Raw genomic sequence first — 21812 nt, 5'->3', positions numbered from 1 at the left:
TTGTAAGTAAGAACATGCGTTATTTGTTTTTCTATTCCATGCTAGTTTGCCAACGATAATGGCCTCCAGTTCTATCCATGTTCTTGCAAAGGACATGATCTCATTCTTTTTTATGGATGCATACTGTTCCATGATCGTGGTGGATAAGCCTTTTGGTGTGCTGGTGAATTCAATTTGCCACTATTTTGTTGAGGATTTTTGCACTGATGTTTCATCAAGGATATTGGACTGAGGTTTTCTTTTTTGTTGTATCTCTGTCAGGTTTTGGTATCAGGATGATGCTGACTTCATAGAATGAGTTAGGAAGGAGTCCCTCCTCAATTTTTTGGAATAGTTTCAGTAGGAATGGTACCAGATCTTATTTGTACATGTGGTAGAATTCAGCTGTGAATCCCTCCGATTCCTGGGATTTTTGTGGTTGGTAGGCTTTTTATTACTGCTTCAATTTCAGAACTGGTTATTGGTCTGTTCGGGGATTCAGTTTCTTCCTGGTTTAGTCTGGGAGGCTGTATGTGTCCAGGAATATACCCATTTCTTCTAGTTTTTCTAGTTTATATGCATAGAGGTATTCATAATATTCTTTGATACTTGTTTATATTTCTATGGGGTCAGTAGTAATATCCCCCTTATTGTTTCTGATTGTGTTTATCAAATATTCTCTCTTCTTTATTAGTCAAGCTAGTGGTCTAATAATATATGTAAAAATTCTTTTTATAAATATAATGTAATAATAATAGCATGCTCATCCAAAGATACCACTAAGAATATGAATAGGCAAGTCCCAGATTGAGAAAAATGTATTAATAGGTGTACTAATAGTCCCAGATTGAGAAAATGTGTTAATTAACATATATCAGAAAAAGACTTATATCAGGAGTATAAAGAGCTCTTCTAAATCAACAATAAGAAAAGCAGTTCAATAAAAATTATGGCAAGGATAGAACAGACATTACATGAAGGAAGATGTAGAAATGTCCAATAACCCATTGATTCAAAAGTGTTCAATATCATTAATAATCGGGAAATTAAAACTAGAACCACAAGACACTATTTTACACTCATTGGTATGACTAAAATCTTAACAGTGATAACACCCAATGTTAAAAAATGATGTAGAGTAATTAGAACTCCCACATAAATTGTTGGTGGAAGGGTAAAATCACACAATCACTCTGTAAAACTGTTTGTCAGTTTTTAAATGAAGTTACTAACATAATCTACCCCATGATCCAGTGGCTCTACTCAAGCAGTACAACTACTTGTACTCACTTGTACAAGAATGTTCATAAGCAGATTTATTCATAAAAGCTGATAACTGGAAGCATTCCAAATGTCCACCAATAGGAAAATATTCTATTCATATAATGGAATACTACTCAGCAACAAAAATGAATATTAAAACAAGCCACAGCATTGGTGAGTTTTTAAAACCTTTGAAACCAAAGAAACTTGACACAAAATAGTATCATATAAGTCTGTGCATAAGAAGTCTAAGAACAGGCAGAACCATTCTATGGTGATAGAAGTCAGAAAGTGTTTGCTTAGGTTGGGGACAGAGTTTGCTGCAGAATTGCCAAGGAAAAGGGTCAGTGGGGTACTTTCTAGATAGAAATGTTCTTTCTCCTGTTTTGGATGGTGGTCACATGGGGGTATGCAGCAACAACTCTCTGAGATTCAAGTAGTACCAAGGCAATTACTTTAAATGTAGAATGGAAGTCAGCAGGACCTGGAAAATACTTTTTAAATATTGAATTATAAAATTCACTTGGGTAAACATTGCTTGCACACTTATAAGTGAATGATGCTTCACTGTGTTCTGTTGTGGAGATGCACAAAGAAAGACCAGACTTTAACATCTGTTAATATGTTACAAAGAAAGAATTGTTAGGCAGCTTTCCAAAGCTGTGGCTGTCTTGTTCTGTGGCTTCTGTTCAGCACTCCGTGTGCTTTAATTACTTTCTCTGTGTATTCCTCCAGCAGGGGAGCCTCCATGTGGGCATGAATAAATCATAATAGCATTGTATTCTGTGTATACATTCCAATGTTTGCTTTCCTCAAGGACAGTGGAATGTCCAGGCAGGAGACTAATAAAACAGCCTGAATTCTGCAGCCCTTATCACAGATTCATATTATATACTGCATTTGAACCCCCACTTGATATCCAGAAGGGAGTCTGTGTGGGTATCAAGTGGTTACTATCATTTATTATCATTCTTCAATTTTACCCATAGAGGAATAGTAGATTTCATAGAATTATGGGGTTATGTGATGGAACACATCAGATTTTAAGGTTCACAAACTTTACGTTTATGCTTGTGAAAATACAGGCTAGACTTCACAGCTTATTATTCTAGTCAGCTAGAACTGAATCTGATAGAATTGTGTTTGGTTTTGTGCAGTGGACCGCCCACCTTGATTTTCAAAAGACTGATTTCTTTAATCACGGTCCTTGCATATACATAATATGTTGGTTAAGGATCACTTTTGCAGTTGGCGTGTTTAGAAATCAACCTGAACTTTTTCATCCTGTCAAGAAACTGACACTTTTCATTGTGTAGCAACAGAAGGTTGCTAAAAACAAATATAGTAGTTGGTGGTAGTAGTAATGACAGTGCAGTAATAATAGCAGCAACTAACATTCAAGTGGGTACTCTATGCGAAGCAGAGTTCCGTACATTTTATTTGGATTATCTCATTTTATCTATACAGTTACCCCACGAAATTGGTACTCTTATTATTCCCACTATGCAGATGAAGAAAGACTCTCAAAGACATTACATAACTTGTCCAAAATCACATACACAGTAAGCGATGGAGTCAGAATTCATTTCCAGGCATTAGACTCCAAAGGCTCTATGCAGAAACTTACAAAGGAAATTTAACATTTGTATTACCTTAGTGTTTTTGCTGAAAGAATTTTATGTGTAGAGAGTAAGTTTACTTTTATTAAATAGTATCAAACATTTTTAAATAAGGAAATGCAAACAGTTCAGTTTTTATAGTGTTTTCTCTCAAGCTGATGTACACTTTAATATCTGCCACAGGGAAGGCTGTTCATGCAGTGACTTTTACAGATGCATTGTTTTTGTAAGTGAGATGAAGGGTCTCATATCCCTTAACAGAGTAAGTTTTGCTTTAAGAATTTGTATCTTTTTGAAAGGATCATCTTGCTCAATCTGAGCTAACTTATATAACCTGGTAGGCAGTGATAGTCTCAAGAACTTCTCTGAAAACAGTGTTCTTTAAGGATACTGAACACATTTTTTAATAACAGTGACCTCAAGTTGTGGAATTATTGTCTGATTATTAAGCATTTGAAAGTTAAATTTGCATATCTGTCAGAATAGATTAATGCAACTGATACTTTAATTTTTACATTTTGAAAAGCAGATGAGAGATTCATGCTTTTCCTTTAAACTCAAACTATGATTATTTTCAGCACATGACTTCATTTTGTTGTTTTTTCATGTTACTGATCTGTCCCTATTAATATTGATGGTGAAGCCATTGGCGATGTTAACTTTTTAAATGATTTTATAGTAAATTATCAACAGTAAAATATCCTAACCTTTTTGAGTAAAGACTTAGCATTTGTTTTAGTGGTTGCCATTAATATATGCATGCTTGTATATATTTTTTAAATGATTTAGTTAAAAGGGAGGAAAAATTACAAATTGAGAAGTGTATTTAAAGCGACTTTGTGTTAATTAGAGATAATTTATGAATGCTCATTAAAAACAAATTGGGGTAATACACAGGGAAAGATATCTTTTGTTCTGCAAGTTTTCCCTGAACAGAAAATGTTAATTGCTTTCAGACTTAATTTACATAAAAGGGGAGAGGTTTCAGAGAATATTACCATTATACTGTTAATGGTGTGAAGAAAGCAAATGGGTAAAGGGGATCATTAAAAGTTGCCTATACTTTAATAAGCAAACTCTTTTTATGTGCCAGGAATAGTTGTTTAAGCACACTCATTTAATTGGCTAACTTAAAAACTTCACTTTGAAATGGAGTGGCTGAAGCAACACATTTCAGACTTCATAATAGTCTAGTATATTGAACTTTTTGGAGAAATTCTCTGTAAGTTACACATACCAAAAGAGAAAGTTGTAATAAGCCAACAGTAAAGCGATCTTGCCAAATGACATTTCCTTTTATAGAACTTTCCATTAAGATCTATATAGCTCTTCTTTATGAATATTCAGTTTCAAAACTGAAATGGAAAAGAATGTGTTTCTACAATTGCTGATCTCCTCTCAAATTATATCATTTGTGTTTCTTTGGACATGCTGTGGTATAAAGTAATGAGCCTGCATGCCAGGAGTGACTTGGGCAGTCAATTCCCTCAGACTCTCAATCTACTTATTACCAAAAGTTTTTCAAAATGTAGGCAGTCATGAAATCATCAATGTCCTGTGTAAATGAAGACTGTCTGGTTCAGGCATAGTGCTTCTCATTCTCCAATATGCAAGTCCTATCTTCCCCATACTGCTAGAGTTGCAGCCAACCCTGCTGCCTCGGTTGGGACTGTGTCTGAGGGAATAGCAATCTAAATTATTAAAAGGAACACAAACCTTGGTTGTAATTTGATTTAACCTCTGACACAGGTGGCTAGGAGTCACCTATACTGCATACATTCCTGATAGCTCTCTTCTCCTTGAATATATCCTACTGTGGGCACTTACTACCTTACAAAGCTACCTCATACTAGACAGTTCAAATTGTTAAAATGTTCTTCCTTAAAATTCAGCAAATTAGCAGGCTATAGAATCAATATCCAAAGATCAGTCCCCAGCTGGATTTAAAAGACAAAATGCATAAACTACTTGAAAACAGCCTTAAGAAGTGGAAGCTTATGAGAAGAAAACTATAGACTTCTCTGATAGGAGTAAAATTGATGTTAAATCTGCTAGTATTGATTTATAGGTTTAATGCAATTATTTTCAAGTTTGCAAAGGAAATTACTTTTATAACTTTTCAAAAATATTTGACAATTCACCTCAAAGGATAAATAGATAAGAATAATTTGAAGACATTTTGGGAGATAAGTAAAATGGATTTGAGTTATTTTGCCATCCAACTATTAAGATATACAGTAAAACTAAAATACTTAAATATTATAATCCTTGTATAAAAGTGAACAAAGAGCAATGGTGCAGTGCCATAAATTTAGGTAAAAAATGTTATGTTAGAATTTAATTTTAATATGTCACAAAAAGTGCATGTCTAAAGGGATGTTTGCTCCATAAATTGGGGTAGAATAATTGTCAACAAAAAAATTTCTGTCTAACTTATCATTTATACTGTATATATAAAAAAATGTATTCCAGATTGACAAAAGATTTAAATCCTAAAAAAAGCAACCCTTAAAGCTGCAAGACCATGGAACTGAATATTTATCAGCTATGGGGGAACACTTTAAATTTAAGCAAACGTTAAGAAACCAACCCCCAAAAGACCAGTATATTTGACTTATTAACAATAAGGTAAACAATGAGCTAGGTTAAGGCAAAGAGCAATTTGGATAGAATATTTAATTTAAAAAGACAAGGCAATTTCATATTAAATACATAAAGAACTAGTACAAACAAATAAAGACATGGATAAACTGTTCACCGCATCAAAACTGCCGATGGCTAGCAAATACATAAATACACGCTCACACTTAACATTTGTATTACCTTAGTGTTTTTGATAGGGTAAATAAATGTACCCTATCCGTGTAGATAAGATTTTTTTCTGAATCATATTCTTAGCCTATGACTCAGTGGTTAAATTCCTAGAAATCTAGCTATAAGGGGAAAAATTCAAAATATGGTTTTTTTAAAACATATTATCTACTATGATAATAATAGTGAACTTACTGATAATAGTGATTAGGAATAAATTCACCATGTAAATTCCAGGCCTTTGGTCACCACAGCATTATTTCTGATCATCTTCCTGGTTACTTTTCCCCTGTATTTCTGTTATATCCTCCTAACCTATTTGCTTTATGAAACTAATTTTTAATTTTATGAGCATATTTTCCTCGCTTTTCTAATTTGACTGCTGAGTATTGCGAGAGGTGTAAAGAAAATATAATTGCTCTAGGGCAACTGTAAATTTTTAATAGTCTATTTTAATTAGGATAATTTTCATTAATTTGGATTTTTGAGATACCTCAATATGTGTTCATATATATTCACGAGTCTGTTTTCCATAATTCCGAAATCCAAACAGTATAGAAAATCCCAGCTCATTTGGTGGCAAAATCTGACCCAAAACAACACGAAGATATATATAGCCTTTATCTTGAAAATATGAATATCTTTGAATACAAGGTACTACCCCAGTCAACATTGGTGATGGGGAGTTACAAAACATATGGCATATGCATTGTATTATATTTTTAAAATATGAAAAATCACTTCTGATGTGATTTGGTCAGGGTCCTCTAGAGGGACAGAACTAATAGGATAGATGTATATATGAAGGGATATTGACTCCTACAGTCACAAGGTGAGGTCCCACAATAGGCCGTCTGCAAGCTGAGGAGCAAGGAAGCCAGTAGTGGCTCAGTCCGAGTTCCAAAACCTCAAAAGTAAGGAAGCCAACAGTGCAGCCTTCAATCTGTGACTGAAGGCCGAGAGCCCCTGGTAAACTGCTGGTGTAAGTCCAAGAGTACAAAAGCTGAAGGACTTGGGAGTCTGATGTTCAAGGGCAGGAAGCATCCAGCACAGAGAAAGATGAAGGCCGGAAGACTTAGCAAGTCTGCTCTTCCATCTTCTCCTGCCTGCTTTATTCTAGCCACACTAGCAGCTGATTAGATGGTGCCCACCCAGTCCACTGACTCAAATGTCAATTTCCTTTGGCAACACTCACAGACACACCCAGGAACAATACCTTGCATCCTTCAATTTAATCAAGTTTGCACTCAGTATTAACCACGACATGATGCACATCTGACCTCAAGTGTTTTTGAATCAAGAATTATAGAGCCATGTGCATGTCTGTATATACATGTGTACAAGTATATAACATGAATATATCCAACATTATTAATATGTATTGATTGTATTGTAAATCCTAAGAGTCTTCATTGTAAATCCAAAGAGTCTTCATTTACTAAACTCATGAAATGTTTGTTTTATGAAACACTGAGAAACTAAACAATTCTAAACCCAATCATTAATGCTCAAAGAAAATGTAAGGAAATGTGTAAATCCATTTAATTACAAATTATTTTTTTACCTTACAGAGTAGTAAACATGACAAGATGTTTTCTCTCAGTTCCATGAAGTTTTATCGTGGAGTGAAAAAGAAAATGAAGCCTCCAACAAGGTAAAGTTTGAAAGGGAAGTGCTGAAAGGAAAAACTTATGGGAAAAATATGTCTATTTAAGGATTTAGGGATCAGTGGCATTAGTCTAACTTTTTATAAAGTAAGTTTTAGGCTATTTTTTTTAAGTTGCTTCCCCTGTCACAGGGTTCTTATGGCAGATCAAGGAACTTGTATGAGTAGATAAGGAGGGACGATGTTCCCACTGAGACTGAGACCAAGCTCCTTGGTGATTGCAATCTCTCTGTGTAAAGTAAGAAATCCCGGGAGGCTCTGTCTACTGGGAAGTACATGGCTTCCTCTGCATCTCATTCCCTGAGCTGTCACATCACAACCTGAGGGCATCTCAGGCAAGTCTACAACACAGGAAAGCAAATGCTGCCCTCCAGCTTCCTGATGCTTGGCTTCTACAATGTTTTGGTTCTGGCTCTGTAATTTTCCCTTTTTACTATGCTGACTTTGGTACTGAAAACCCATCATAGCATGTAAGCGCTAGAGGAGGTGGGTGCCTCCTACAGATTGCGTGCCTCTTTAACACTTCATGTACCCCAGCATTTGATTTACACCACAATTTCTTATCACAGGTTACTTTGATTAGCTAATAAATGTTTGCACTAATACTTAGTATCATGAACATCATTTATATGTGCTTGCTTCTGAGATTTTGCTGCTGAAAATTTCTTCACTTTTGCCTTCATACTCAGTTTCTAAGCCTAGAGCATATACCTGTGTTTTAATAGGCATGTTCTTTAATTTCCCCCAGTAACCGTACATCTCTCTATATTATCTTATTTCAGTCATTTTCGTAGACATTTGGCCTTATTCAGTTAAGAGTATCTTCTCAGAGACATCTCCTCTCTGCCCCATATCATCACAAGCCTCCTTCCTTCTATATAAATGTGTAGCCAGATCCCTTAGCATTTAGCATTCACCTCTAGCTAAGTCCAACACATTGAATCACCACTTGTGGAAGTCTATGCATTCCCACCATTAAATCTCATCTCCTTAACATCTAATCCTGTTTTCTGTCTTGTAAAATGTATTATTTTTAATTTATGTGTGTTTTTTTTTCTATGTGATGCAGCTGGGGATTGACCGCATATTCTGAGAAACATCACTGGTAAGTTAACAGCTGACAACTTTTGGACATAATATATTGGTGACAATTTCAGGAAAAGAATAATTTCAGTAATTGCAGATAGAACTACAGACGGAAAGTGTTTTGCCTAAGTGAAATTAGGGTTGTTTGTAAAGACTTTGAGCCTAAGAAGAGGAAAACAGATTTGTATCAGGGTTCAAGTCCCATGTATCCTATTTGGCAATGCCTCTGAAGTGAAACTACGCCTGATTTCTTCCATAGTTATTATGAGTGTGGAATTCAGCTTTTATGAGATAAGTAGGTGATAGTTTTAAAACAGAATAAGAACTAGCTAAAATCAGATTTAAGAAAAACATATATCCCGCTCTCAACCCTATTTCTATATATGTACTTTTTGCCATATACTGTTACCAGTATCCATCAGTATTTCTAGAGATTGTACTAGATGTTTCCTTCTCTTCACCTCCCTGTGTCTAATCGGTCACTGAGCCACACGAGATCTGCCTCTTCCTTGTGCCCCTCCTCCACCTACACCTCTCTACCCTGAGGGCCTGGCCTTCATTGATCTGCCTGGATTATTCCAGGAGTCCTAAGTGCTCTTCAGGCCTCTTCTTTGCTTTTGTTTTGTCGTACATTCTCCACCTCTCCACTGAGGAGTATTTTCTATGCTGTACCATGTTTCTCTCCTGCTTTAAAACTTCTGTGAATTCTTTCACCTATAGGATCAAGCACAGAATTGTTGCGTGGCATGCAAGGCTATATATGACTCCACCAACTTCATCTCCCACAGTTTTTCTTTTTCACTTAATGACAAAACAATCATCTATCTTTATTCACCACGCATTCCTTGCTGTTTCAGATCTGCATGTGTGATGTACATGGTCCCTCTACTAAACCTTTGTTCATACTTTTCACTTCTCCTTCCTGTCATACTTTCATTCTCCCCCTGATGACTCAACCAACTCAACTGTCAATGTTCTTTGAAATCATAGCTCAAATGCCCCAAAGCCTTATCTAATAGCTCTCACCTCTGATCATTATTTCTTCTTTGCACCTACAGTATTTTATAAACAAGGGTACGGAATTAAAATGATTTGTGGCAGGAATGGTTTGTGGCCTGGACATGGTAATAGGGAAAGACAATGTTTTCATGAGGTGCTGATGAAGAAAACACAGATTTTTTAGAAATTTCATTTTCAACATTTTTCAGGTAAATTATTTTGATAATACAGGAATGTAAAGAATACAATTACTTTGAAAAGCCCATTAGATCTTTCCAATATCAATTATAAAATTTTCCTCTTATAAAGAACAACCCTCTCCTCATCCCCAAGTCTGTGGTTTCTATGTTTGCACTCAGTTTTATTTTTGCTTTTTCTCACTGTGTTGTAATTTATTTGTCTATATGCTTAGCTCCCCTAATAGACTACAGGAGCCTTCAGGACAAGGTCTCTGTTTTAGTTAGTCTTTCAATAAAAGGTTACTTAATCACTGTTATTGGATATGCAGTGGTTTTTCATGTAGTTTCATTTTTTATGAATCTGTGGGTATTAGTGTTTACAATTACAATGATGGAGACTATGTCTCAGCCTTTTAAAAAGAAAGATCTGCTCTTATGAGGATGTGCACATATTTTTCTTCTCAGGCTCAGAATTTTAGTGGAATACAGTGTTTTACCATCAGGTACTTGAAAAGGCAAAATGAAATAAATCTTTCTGCCTTTCCGAAAAATATTGGTCATCATTTTGCAGCACTTACCAAAGGCTTCAGTTGTATTTTGTTTAAACCAATATATTTACACTATAACTTCGTATTGTACATTTAGCAGAAGACCAAAACAACTTGTACTGAAATGTTCCACTTTTGTGATTGCATTACGTCATTAATCAGGAGAGACCCAGAGATTTTTGATCACCAAATCACTCAGCAGATACACTAGAGAACAGTCAATTGTCTTTTTGAATGACATAGTTTATAAACCTCGTTTTGCAGGCACCTGTGTTGTGATAGTTCACGAACTCAGACGGAGTGGATGACCAGTATCTTTATTGCCCAGGTACGAGATTTGTTTGAACTATCCAGTAGAGTATAATAACTTTGTTTACAGGAAATGTTAGTGTGATGGTGATTTCTAAAGAATTTTTAATAAGCATTTTAAATGTATGTACAATTGGCATAAACTTTGATTCTCTCATTCTTAGTTTTTAAAATAGTATATTAAAGTTCAAATTTATTCATTACCTTTTGAAAGAGAGTTTATTCCATTAAAGCGTCTTTTCTGCCAGCCCCACAGCCTCCTTGGCTTAGGTGAGGTGTGTTGCTTTAAAATGGTCGTGTAAGAAAGAGGGACTTTTCTAAGCTGTCATCCTACCACAATCCCACATAGACCTTCATTTAGAAAAGTGTTCTATTTCCCTTCTTGTTCTCCCACTCTCTCCACCCCTGCCTTTCCAGAAACAAGGACAGGAACCTACTTTTCTTTAATAACTATTGTGTGCTAGATACTTCATAAGAATAACTCATGTATTCCTTGCAGCAAACCATACAAGATGTTTTTGGTTTTATAAAACAAATGTTTGGTTGTTTGCTCAGGACCATATATTAGTAGTTTAAACCCAGGGATGTCTGAGGCCAATGCTTATACTCAGTTCCGTATTTGTTTTCCTCCCTAGAGCAGGACTTACCCTTTTGAGGAACAGTTATATAGTCCCATTAATTGGACTGGTTTGTTTCCCAACCTTGTCTAGCTAAATTCCCAATAATGCTTCTCATGGAGCATTGAAATTCACTGGTAACGATTAAGTTGCCATTCTTTATTACTGAGGAGGTATTTTCCTGTTTCCCTTATAAGAAATAAGTTAGCTCACTCCAAAATCTAGTTCTTATTTGTTCTGAAAATAGTTTTCTCTGTTCATTTAATGTATTAACTTTTTCAGTGGTTAATAAACACAGCTCTTCTCAGCCTGTCTCTCTACCATTACTACCTGGAAAAACATGTGCACAAGAGACTGGCTGCTAACTTTTTAGAGGCTTTTCTTCTTCTTTTTGTAACTTATTAAAATTCAGATATTCAACTTTTTTTTTTTTTTTTTTTTTTTGAGACAGAGTCTTGCTCTGTTGCCCAGGCTGGAGTGCAGTGGCATGATCTCAGCCCACTGCAATCTCTGCCTCCTGGGTTCAAGTGATTCTCCTGTCTCAGCCTCCTGAGTATCTGGGATTACAGGCGTGCACCACCGTGCCCAGCTAATTTTTGTATTTTTAGTAGAGATGGAGTTTCACCATGTTGGGCAGGTTGGTCTCGAACTTCTGACGTCAGGTGATCCGCCCACCTTGGCCTCCCAAAGTGCTAGGATTACAGGCATGAGCCACTGTGCTAGGCCACATCGAGTTCTACTTTAGGAAAAACAAAAGACTGGATTTGAAGTCTTTTGGTAAAGTTGGGACTATAGAGTCTAAAGCTGTTACAGTGTCATTTGTGGCACAACTAAACTGATGTTTTTGTTTTTATAATTGGAGTCAGTAGACTCTGCAGTTGAAATTTAAACAATGAATGCAGGAAGCAAAGCCTACTCTCACTACAAGGTTATTTCTTACTGTCTCATGTTTTAATCCTAGTCCTCGTCTCAAAGATTTAGCCTAATTATCTTTCCTCTGTTCTTTTTACTTCTTGGTATTATTCAGGTCCTCCCTTAAGATAAACACAGAAGCCTTCTTGGATTTAAGGATTTATGGTTCATCTCTGTAGGGAAACAGCAAAATAGCAAATATTTATATATATGTTAAAAGCGTAGACATACACACAAACACGTATGCGAATTAACAGTAAACACCCCCTATAATGAGCTCCTTTTGGTATTCAGAGTACTTTTGTAATCTCCATCCTTTCCACACCCCTGCCTCAGAAGTCATCTAGACTTCAGCTTAAATATCCCATTCTCAGAGAAACTTTTCCTGACCTTCAGATGACTTAGACCTTCAGGCTATCACCCTTAGCATCCCGTACTTCTCCACTGTGACACTAATTAGTAAAGAAAAAAATGTAATTAGCTATTTCATGTCTGCCTCTCTTACTAAAATGTAAACTCCATGAAAAGAAGGACTCTTCATCATATTTGACTTGTATGTCAAGTACATGTTTAGTTAGTATTTCTAAAATAGGAAATAGGGTAAGAAAATCAGTAATCAGATAAAATTTCAAATGGATATCCATGTGATAAAATAGGAGAATCATAAAATATGGCAGGTAAGGAGAGCATGTGACTGACATAAGGAAGGCACTAATTGAGGAAGGTTCTCAGGAAATGGCTTTCTGAGTAGGTGACAGGTGACCTGAGACCAGTCTGAAATGAGAGGGGTATCATGCAGGCTTCCAGGAAGGATCATTCAGGAATGGGGCCAGCAGGGTATGTCCTGAGACATCATCACTGTCTTGTTTTATTCTATAAACATCATGAAGGTAAGATATTAGAGATGAGGAAGGCTTGTGACAAATTATGTAGTTCCTGCTTAATAGTTTGAAACAAGGGAAGGATATAATCTAATTTTAATTGAAAAAAATTATTTTGTTCACTTCATTGAGTCTGCAGTGTAGAGGGTCAAAGATGCAAGTGGGATGAACAGCTATAGGAAAGAAGATGTCAACTCAGACTAGGGTGGTAATGAATATGGTAAGACAAATTAAGATTCAGGAATATTTTGAAGGTAGAGCCAATAAGGCTTTTGGAATTATTGCGAAGTGACTACGTTGTCTGTGGTATATACCCTAGAGTTCCTTGTCACATGCCAGGAAAATTTAGGACACAGACACACACGAGAAGTTTAGGAGCAGGAGGTTTAATAGGTAGAAGAGAAGAGAAAGAGAAACAGCTTCCTCTATAACAGGAAGAGGTCTCCAAGCAGAAAGTACCAGCTAGTGCAGAATGCGCAGTTTTATAGTCCAGTTTGAGGAGGTTGTGTCTGATTTACGAAGGGCTCACAGATTGTTTCGATCAGATATGGCGTTTACATAGTGTATGGGTAAGTCTGGTCACCCCCACCCTAATCTTCTTATGCAAATGGGCTTTCCAGTTGATTGACACCATCTTGTCCTCTCCTTACAATGCATTTGGCTGGCAGAGAAGGGAAGATGGAGCCACCATTTTGAAAATGTCTAGTCCTTAGTTCCTGCCAGCATTCACCCCTGCAAGCTCCTAGATTGCAGGCTGCTTTTTGTTAGAAGATGGCTTGGGACTGCTTTTCATTAAAAAGAAAAGCCTTACCAAGGACTCCCATGCCCTTGCTATCTGCTTAGTAATTCCTTCTTAACTCCTGTGTCAATTGGCTATTGCAATTTGAGAGGAAGAGTAGAAATCAGAAAAAATTCTAGTTTTTTGGCAACTGTCAGATGTAAGTGGGATCATCAGAGATGTAGAAGGAAATGGAGAGTTCTATTTTGGCCACATAAAATTTGAGATGCCTATTAGATACACAGATATGTATGCTGGGCAGCAGGTTGGATGTGTGGATCAAAAACTCAGGCACAGGTTTGGGGCTAAAATGTAAATTTGGGGGAAGTCAGCACTTAGATTATATTCAAAGCTATAGGATTAGATGAGATGCCTGGGGGAGAAGGTTTGAGGTGGAGAGGGAAGCATGGAGGTGGAGAGGGAAGCATGGAGGAGGGTTGGGGAGAGAGAGAGAATGGAGGAATAAGCCCTGGGACATTTCAAAATTTAAAGCGTAGGCAGAAGAAAAAAAAACAGCAAAAGCAGTGATAAGAAGTAAGAAAGGAGGAAAACCAGGTGATGGGTACAGAAAATTCTCTCAAGTAATTTCTTATGTAATTAAATGAGGTTGTGACTAGATAGAGGTGAAGGTAGGTTTGGGGGTTTTGATTTATCTTTAAGATGGGGGAGTGTGTACTTGCATACATTATATGAAGACAATCCAATCAGGAAGAAGAAATGGACAGAAGAGGAGAGATGTTATTAAACCAGCAGAGGCCCTGAACAGACATGAAATGATATGATCTAGTGCATGGTTATTCATTATTAAAAATCATCATACAGCAGAGACTGTGGCACATTTCTTCTCAAATTATTGACCACCTAAATTTATGACCCATTGAGCTGAGCAATTATAGATATGACTGGATAAAAGTTATTTGCAATCAGCAAATACTGATTGCAAGAAGTAAACTCACTTAGATGACTATAGATGCAAGGAGATTGGTACATTTCATGATGGGAGTATTTTCTTAAATGATCAGTAATAATTGTTGGATTGAATCAGTGAGATCACCACATGTGACGCAGGCAGGGTTTTTGAAGTGTAAGGGCAGAGGCAAAGGAGAGAAGTAATCTTCAGAGAGTGAGGAAACCAGTTGTCCCATGGTAGAACTTCAAGGCAGTGCTGAATGGTTTCTTAAAATTTAAGGTTAAATTTAAAGTGTGATGGATGTACAGAGTAATTTGTTTTTGTCCTCCATCAACTGGCAGGCACTCATGAAATAAGCTGAATTGTGTTTAATTAGGTTTGGGGCTTTGCCAGGCAAGTATGATAGAGAACGAAGGAGCAAGAAAATAAATAAGTAATCAGATAAAATTTGAACTTGAAGATATTTACAAGGAAGTGAGTTTACTGATTGACCATGAAATGAAAGCCAGGCAATGAGGGAAGTGGTAAAAAATGTTGTGAGAAGAGTGGTGGTGGATTGGAGGTCTCAAGGAGTGAAAAGAATAGTTAAAATGAATGAAACTAAATTTAGTTAGCTGGAAAGATAGGCAAAGGTTAGAAAATGGAAGGCAGAAATGGAGATGTTTAGGTGTGGTCTTTGGTTATAAAATGAAAGTTTGATCCTCACCTATATGATCCGTGCTGTATGACTTTTGAAGTCATTTACAAATAACTACAAATGTTAAATCAGAACACATCACTTGGATGTAAAGTAGAAAAAAATGCCTCTTAGTTCAATTCAAGGAGAGTTAGCTGGTATTCACAGTTGTATATTATTTCAGAAAAAGAGAAATATGGATTTGGGAACCGCATTTGCTCTTAGATTCTTCAAAATATATTTTAGCGTATGCACTACACATCAGTGATTTGAAAGTGTAAGGGTAATTCACAAAATTGCCTAATTCCCTCTCAGTCAGTTTTCTCCCAGGTTTATGTTTTGGGAACATCACAATTATATAATATGCTTTTTTTAACCATGTTTGGTACTGTGTCATAAAAATAATGTGAAGCTATAACTTTCCAATTGAAATACTGTATAACCTACCATTATAGATTTGCGGAACTAAGGTAAATGCTTCACTAACATTCAAGGGTAGATACGATGCACATTAAAGGATCTGCACTGTAAGATCATTGAGGAATAAATGAAAATTATATGTACATTGATAAACATACAGCTTGGCAGTTTGCCCCTTAGTTAAATTAGCTGTTATTATATGGTAGGTAGACAGTAAATATTTGTTTAAATGAGTTCTTTGCCATAAAGCAACACATTAAAATAAGAGCTGCAACCTAAGAACAATAATCTGTTGCTTAAGAACTGAGAGAAATAAAGAGTAGGCATTTAGCTATATAGTTTACTAAATGGTTTTCATTTCATTACAATATCTGTAAACTTTTCATTTTATACTCGGTATTCTGTGTTTACGTCATAGATTGTTGTTTGAAAATCAATATACTTTTTCCAAATTCTGGAAAGTTAATCTACCCTGGGGAGTACAAAATTCTTTAAAGAATTTTTTATATGTATATATCAGAGATGAATCACTCCAGAGCTTATATTTTTACCTGTGAACATTTATCCCCATCCAAATTAACCTTTCTCCAGTCATATGTATAATTATTTAGAAGGCAAGAATATATAGTCAATGATTTGAGAACAAATGTGCCCCACTCTCCGTTGTACAATGATTTTCAGTAAAGATGTTGAAATGTCTGAGTAAAAAGATTATATTTCTTTGGAATTCAATTAGATAAAATAGTAACATTTTTCAAGAGGTCATAAAGTTAGGCTAATTTTTCTGATAGTCATGCCTTAGGTTGATTTGGGATATATAAGATGAAATTATTTTTACACTGAAATCATATTTGGTGTAAATGTATAGTTACTTAGATTACAGTGCCTAGCAATGTAGACAAGTGTACTATTTTTCTTCCACAAAGAGATTTGCCAGTTGCCTCAAATACTTTTCCCCTTTTGGTTTGATAAGTAGTATAGAAGGCATGTATTTGAAACTTAGAAATTGAGCTGAGACCTCAAAGCTCAGTTCAGTTAAGAGTTTCATGTCCTGGAGCGATGCTGCCACCAGAGTCAACATCATAATCACAAATGGAATTCTCATGGAAATCAGATCATTTGATGTGGATATGTGGGAAAGAAACCAAGTGGCTTTATGACATAGTATACCACATAATAAAATCACACACCAACAGCAAGAAATTGTGTTTCCACAGCATGAATATGATATATGGCCACCAGCTGGAAAGGAACGAAAACGTTCAATAACCAAAAATCCCAAAATTGGAGGTTTGCCTCTGATTCCTATACAGCATGAGGGGAATGCAACCTTGGCCCGGAAAAATATTGAGGTAGGTTAGGATTTTGTTTGTTTTATATTCAATTATAGAATATATTTTCCTGTGTCATAATGTGATTAGGTCATTAATTACTTCATTGGCTTCAAAAGCACAATAATAATCACTTTGTAAAGCATGGTAATAATCACATACAGCAAGAAAACAGTATGAATAACCTTATACCTTTTATTTTAATATCATTGACCACCCAATCACATATGCACAATACTACTTATTTTCTTACCTCTAAAGTAGCCAATTTAAAATATGCGTATAGAAATTCTGGTGGTAAAATCACAACTTCAAATTCGTTTTACAAGCTTACTTAAAACACCTTCAGAGTAAGCCCATAGCAGAATATGTCTGGAGCCCTGGTAACTAAACTTTCTAGTAATATAATCACATTCCAGTGCTTTGGGAACTGATGGGGTCTCTCAGTTAATTTAAGGACCTACAAGATGACCCCTGAGAATCAAGAAAGAAGATTTGGCATCTTTCATGAAAGCTACTGTTTGTTTTCCTTCTCACCTTGAGGGTTGGGAGATCATAAGCGGCATCAATCTTGACATGAAGTTTGGCCTCTTCAGCAAAGAACATAGGCTGTTTACTCTCAAAACTCATTAGCCATTTTGGGACCAACACATATTTCAGTGTCTTAATTGAGTCTCTGAAAGCAAAAAGAAAAGCAGTTAGAAGGTGTTCTTATATCTTCCTTGAGCCTAAATTTGGAATTAAGCTGTTCAAATCTTTTGCTCTCCAAACAGAAATAACTTTTGAAAGACGAAAGCCATTTTAACCTAGTGATCAGATTTTTAAGCTTTTTGTGCATATCCTTTCTTGAACATTTATCCCACTGTAATATTCCTTCTCTAAAAGAGAAAAGCTTCAAAAATAATGGTCCTTTGTTTACTGCTTAGTCATTCTGCCCTGATGTAATCAAAGTAAGGAATATGTCTCCAAGAAATCATGACCTTGTCATTTCTTCCATTCTGTACCTAGTTTTTTTTTTTGTTTTTTTTGGGGTTTTTTTTTTGTTTTTTTTTAGGTAATAAACCGCTCTGCAGAGTTCCTTATCTAATCAAGTATCTTAAAATTCTAAGAGTTACATTTCCCAGGAACCCAGGACAGGGAACACAGGCTGAACAGATGAAACTAACATAGGGAGAGATACGCCCTACAGTGACTGTAGAACCTTTTGACATTGCCTTCAGATCAATTATCGGCAAAGCAAAATAAATTATTGGGATCAAAATACATTAACCAGTATCTAATATAGATGATGATTGACTGTATAATAATTTCTTAGCCTTATCCCAAATCCACAATTTCAGAGACAATTTTTAACATATTTAAGATAGGAAAACTGAAGAACTGAAACTATAAAGTGTTTACAAGCTTTTAAAAGAATTACATGCATTTTCAATTACTGGAAAATTTCTGAGTCTTTAAAATAAACCAAGCTCTTTGTAAGATTAGTAAATATAAGGTAGTTTGGTGATTTGATAAATTTGGCAAAGACATTTTTTAAATGTTTAATTTTGGAAAAACATAATGAAACTTACTTTATAAGGCAATAATAGAAATTTTTTTAAAAAAATTCATATAAACCATGAAAATATCTGCCATAATATTAGATTCATATAAAAATTTTAAAAAATATATTTACAAAATAACTAACCATTTTTGACCCTTTGTTTTAAAAATGAAAAGTGAGTTAAAATATTAAGTATTTCAAGAACAAAAAACCAAACACCGCATATTCTCACTCATAGGTGGGAATTGAACAATGAGATCACATGGACACAGGAAGGGGAATATCACACTCTGGGGACTGTGTTGGGGTGGGGGGAGCGGGGAGGGATAGCATTGGGAGATATACCTAATGCTAGATGACGAGTTAGTGGGTGCAGCGCACCAGCATGGCACATGTATACATATGTAACTAACCTGCACAATGTGCACATGTACCCTAAAACTTAAAGTATAATAAAAAAAAAAGAAAAAAAATTAAAAAAAAACTCAAAAAAAAATTAAGTATTATATATTAATAAAAATCAGTCATAACAATGAATATATTCAAGAAGAATTATTTTTCAAAGAAGTTGTTGGCAGATTGATAAATTTTGTGGCTAAGCCTGGCTTTCATTCAGTCCTATTGAAAGTCATATGAGAATACCTTATCCAGGTAGGGAAGGCTTCATGGTGGAAGTGACTTCTCAAGTTAATTGGGGAAATTAGTAGTGAGCCAGCTGAATATGCCAAGTTGTTGGCCGAGGAAATCACACATGAAGAGGCAAACAGAATGCTGAAGAATGCACAAACTAGATACTACCTGTGGTCCTCCTACTGAGTCCCTGTAAAATCATGGATATCTTACTTTAACGCCATCGTTCTAAGCTGCTTTATCTGTAAGCATGTGGGATTAATAAAAGCCCCCACCTTATAGTGCTGTTGTGATTAAGTGACATTATACATGAAACTTTATTAGAATAATGACTAGCATATCTTTAACATATATTGAGACAAAATATTAAGGAACTGGGAAGATGATATGGAATAATTCATTAGTTTTTTTCAAAATTGCTATTTTAACAGCAATATCTGTAAAACAAAAATAACGAGCAAAGAATGATGATGCAGTGAAGCAGAAAATAGTGACATAGAATCCCACCCATAAGCCCCTCTCTTTGTTGTTAGTATCCTGAGCACAGTTTGATGTGGTAGAAAGCAGCACATTGATTTCAGAAAGGCCAAGCTGGGGTCCCCTCCCAAGCTCTCACTTATGCAAACTTGGGCAAATTTTTTTCTTTGAGTTTCTATTTCTGCATCTTAAGATAAAGACAATTTACTTTAAACTATGAATAATACAGAGTTTAAAGCGTTTAAAGTGTTGTGATGATTAAATTTATTGATATGATTATGTATTTTACAACATGAAGATTAAGTAATACAGTGAGTTTGGTAATGAAAGCCAATTAAGAGAGTTTCTAGTATACTCTGTACATATTGGTCATATTACTTTTTGGTGTCCTAAGACCTCTGTAACCATTGGCTTGCCTCTGGATTTAATGGAAAATATGAAGGCCCAGGCTAAAGCCATGTGAATGATTTGCTGTGAGAACCCATCCATTATACCATTCTCTAGCTATGATAAGTAAAACCTGCTCTGTCTGCCACTGGGAGAGACAGACTCTGTTTCAGATTATTATTTCCGTTCAAACAACTGGTTTTCCCTCAGCACCCTGTGACATGAACTGGCATTGCCTATAGCAAGCCATCTCTTGCTCTTCCACTTTCAGACTTTATCTCTCTCTCTTTTTAAATTATGAATGCCTAATCTTTTAAGGACAGTACAGTGTATAAACTATGACTTTCTTTCCCCATTGTCTATGCACTTGGCTTTCTTTCTTCATAGCATTCAAGGCAATTTGGCACACCATATTATTCATGCAAAATTCTTCCTCACTCTCCCATCCCTAACTCTTGACAGTTCACTTCTATCACATCTCCCCACCTTCATTTAAGGTTACATAATTTAGGCTAATATTATAGATGTATTAGTCTATTCCCTCATTGCTATAAAGAAATGTCTGAGACTGGGTAATTTATGAAGAAAAGATGTTTAATTAGCCCACGGTTTCACAGGAAGCATGGTGGCATCTGCTTGGCTTCTCGGGAAGCCTTAGGAAGCTTACAATTATAGCAGAACGCAAAGGGGAAGCAGGCACATCTTACATGGCTGGAGCAGAAGCAAGAGAGAGAGGGGGGAAAGGTGCTACACACTTTTAAAGGACCAGATCTCAACATAACTCACTCAGGAGAACAGCACAGAGGGGATGGTACTAAAACCACTCATGAAAACCCCACCCCCACGATTCAGTCACCTCCTATCAGGCCTCATCTCCAACACTGGACTGCATTTGAACATGAGATTTGGGTGGGGATATAGATGCAAACCATATCAGTAGTGTACTTGAAATTTCAGCATTATGTATGTTATTACTTGGCCCTTAAATTCTGTGTCTAAGAGAGTCCCAAAGTTTTTATGCTGATGGTTGAAAGACGATGAGAACTGTCACTCTGATATATAAAACCTCTCTATATTTATCCTTAATTTTTCCCAAGTAATAGATGCCGAGTGAAACTTTTTAACAAGATTAAAGTTTGTTTATAAACCCTGTCTTGTTTTTTTTTTACTTCATTTGCGATAAAATACATATATCATGGAATTTTCTACTTTATTTAAAAATACATACAATTCAGTGGCATTGGTTGTATTTACATTGTTCAACCATCACTATTTTTCTTAGTATTTTAACATATTCTAATGAAACTTTGGAATTAAGCTAGATATTAAACATTTCTTCCTATAAATTTCAGAGTAGGAAAAATGTATATAGCTTAAGATGTATAATCAGAATCTTACCAGAAAATTCCAAATTTCAAAATTATTTGTACATTATATTCATGAAAATATTTTTATTCCACTTGAATTTTCTGTTATAAATTTATGTTTGGATCTACTGAGATTAAGAAAAATAGAACAGTGTTGTATACTGGAAACTGTTTAAACTTTTCTTCATTTACTCATTCAAAAATATTTATTGATCATTTCCTATGTGTGTACAAGGCTCACACTTCAGTGAACTAATTAAACAAAAGGAAAAAAAAAATAGAAACCTTGCTAGACATATCTAAGCAGGAGTGAGTTAGAAGAGGCAAGTATGAAGTGAGATTCAATTTGAATAACTAACCCAAAAGACACCTTCGAAGTGGTATGTTGAATGCATGTTAAAATGAATTTCCATGGATTGCATTT

The 21812-nt window shown here is 35.5% G+C and overlaps 1 protein-coding gene across 16 annotated transcripts in view, besides 1 other annotated feature; it reads left to right on the top strand.

Annotated features, from left to right (window-relative positions):
* ARAP2 (ArfGAP with RhoGAP domain, ankyrin repeat and PH domain 2) overlaps positions 1-21812 on the top strand; it is a 239381-nt gene that overhangs the window by 154091 nt on the left and 63478 nt on the right. For all 16 annotated transcript variants that reach the window (XR_007096351.1, XR_007096352.1, XR_007096353.1 and 13 more), the window contains 4 exons: positions 7244-7326; positions 8408-8443; positions 10415-10478; positions 16871-17005. Coding sequence is in view for 6 of the 16 variants with exons in the window: in XM_047449575.1 (XP_047305531.1) it covers positions 7244-7326; positions 8408-8443; positions 10415-10478; positions 16871-17005 (318 nt within the window). In the remaining 10 variants the exon portion in view is untranslated. The remainder of the gene's footprint in view (positions 1-7243; positions 7327-8407; positions 8444-10414; positions 10479-16870; positions 17006-21812) is intronic.
* Positions 9024-9073: an enhancer, noted in NCBI's record as "active region_21406". NCBI's record gives its function as "activates an Ori minimal core promoter by ATAC-STARR-seq in GM12878 lymphoblastoid cells {active_cell/tissue: GM12878}" and the evidence as "EXISTENCE:reporter gene assay evidence [ECO:0000049][PMID:35858748]".

Source organism: Homo sapiens, chromosome 4 (assembly GCF_000001405.40).
Source record: "Homo sapiens chromosome 4, GRCh38.p14 Primary Assembly".
Taxonomy (NCBI): Eukaryota; Metazoa; Chordata; class Mammalia; order Primates; family Hominidae; genus Homo; species Homo sapiens.
Note: the sequence above shows the minus strand (reverse complement) of the source record. Positions and strands in the feature narration are given on the sequence as shown.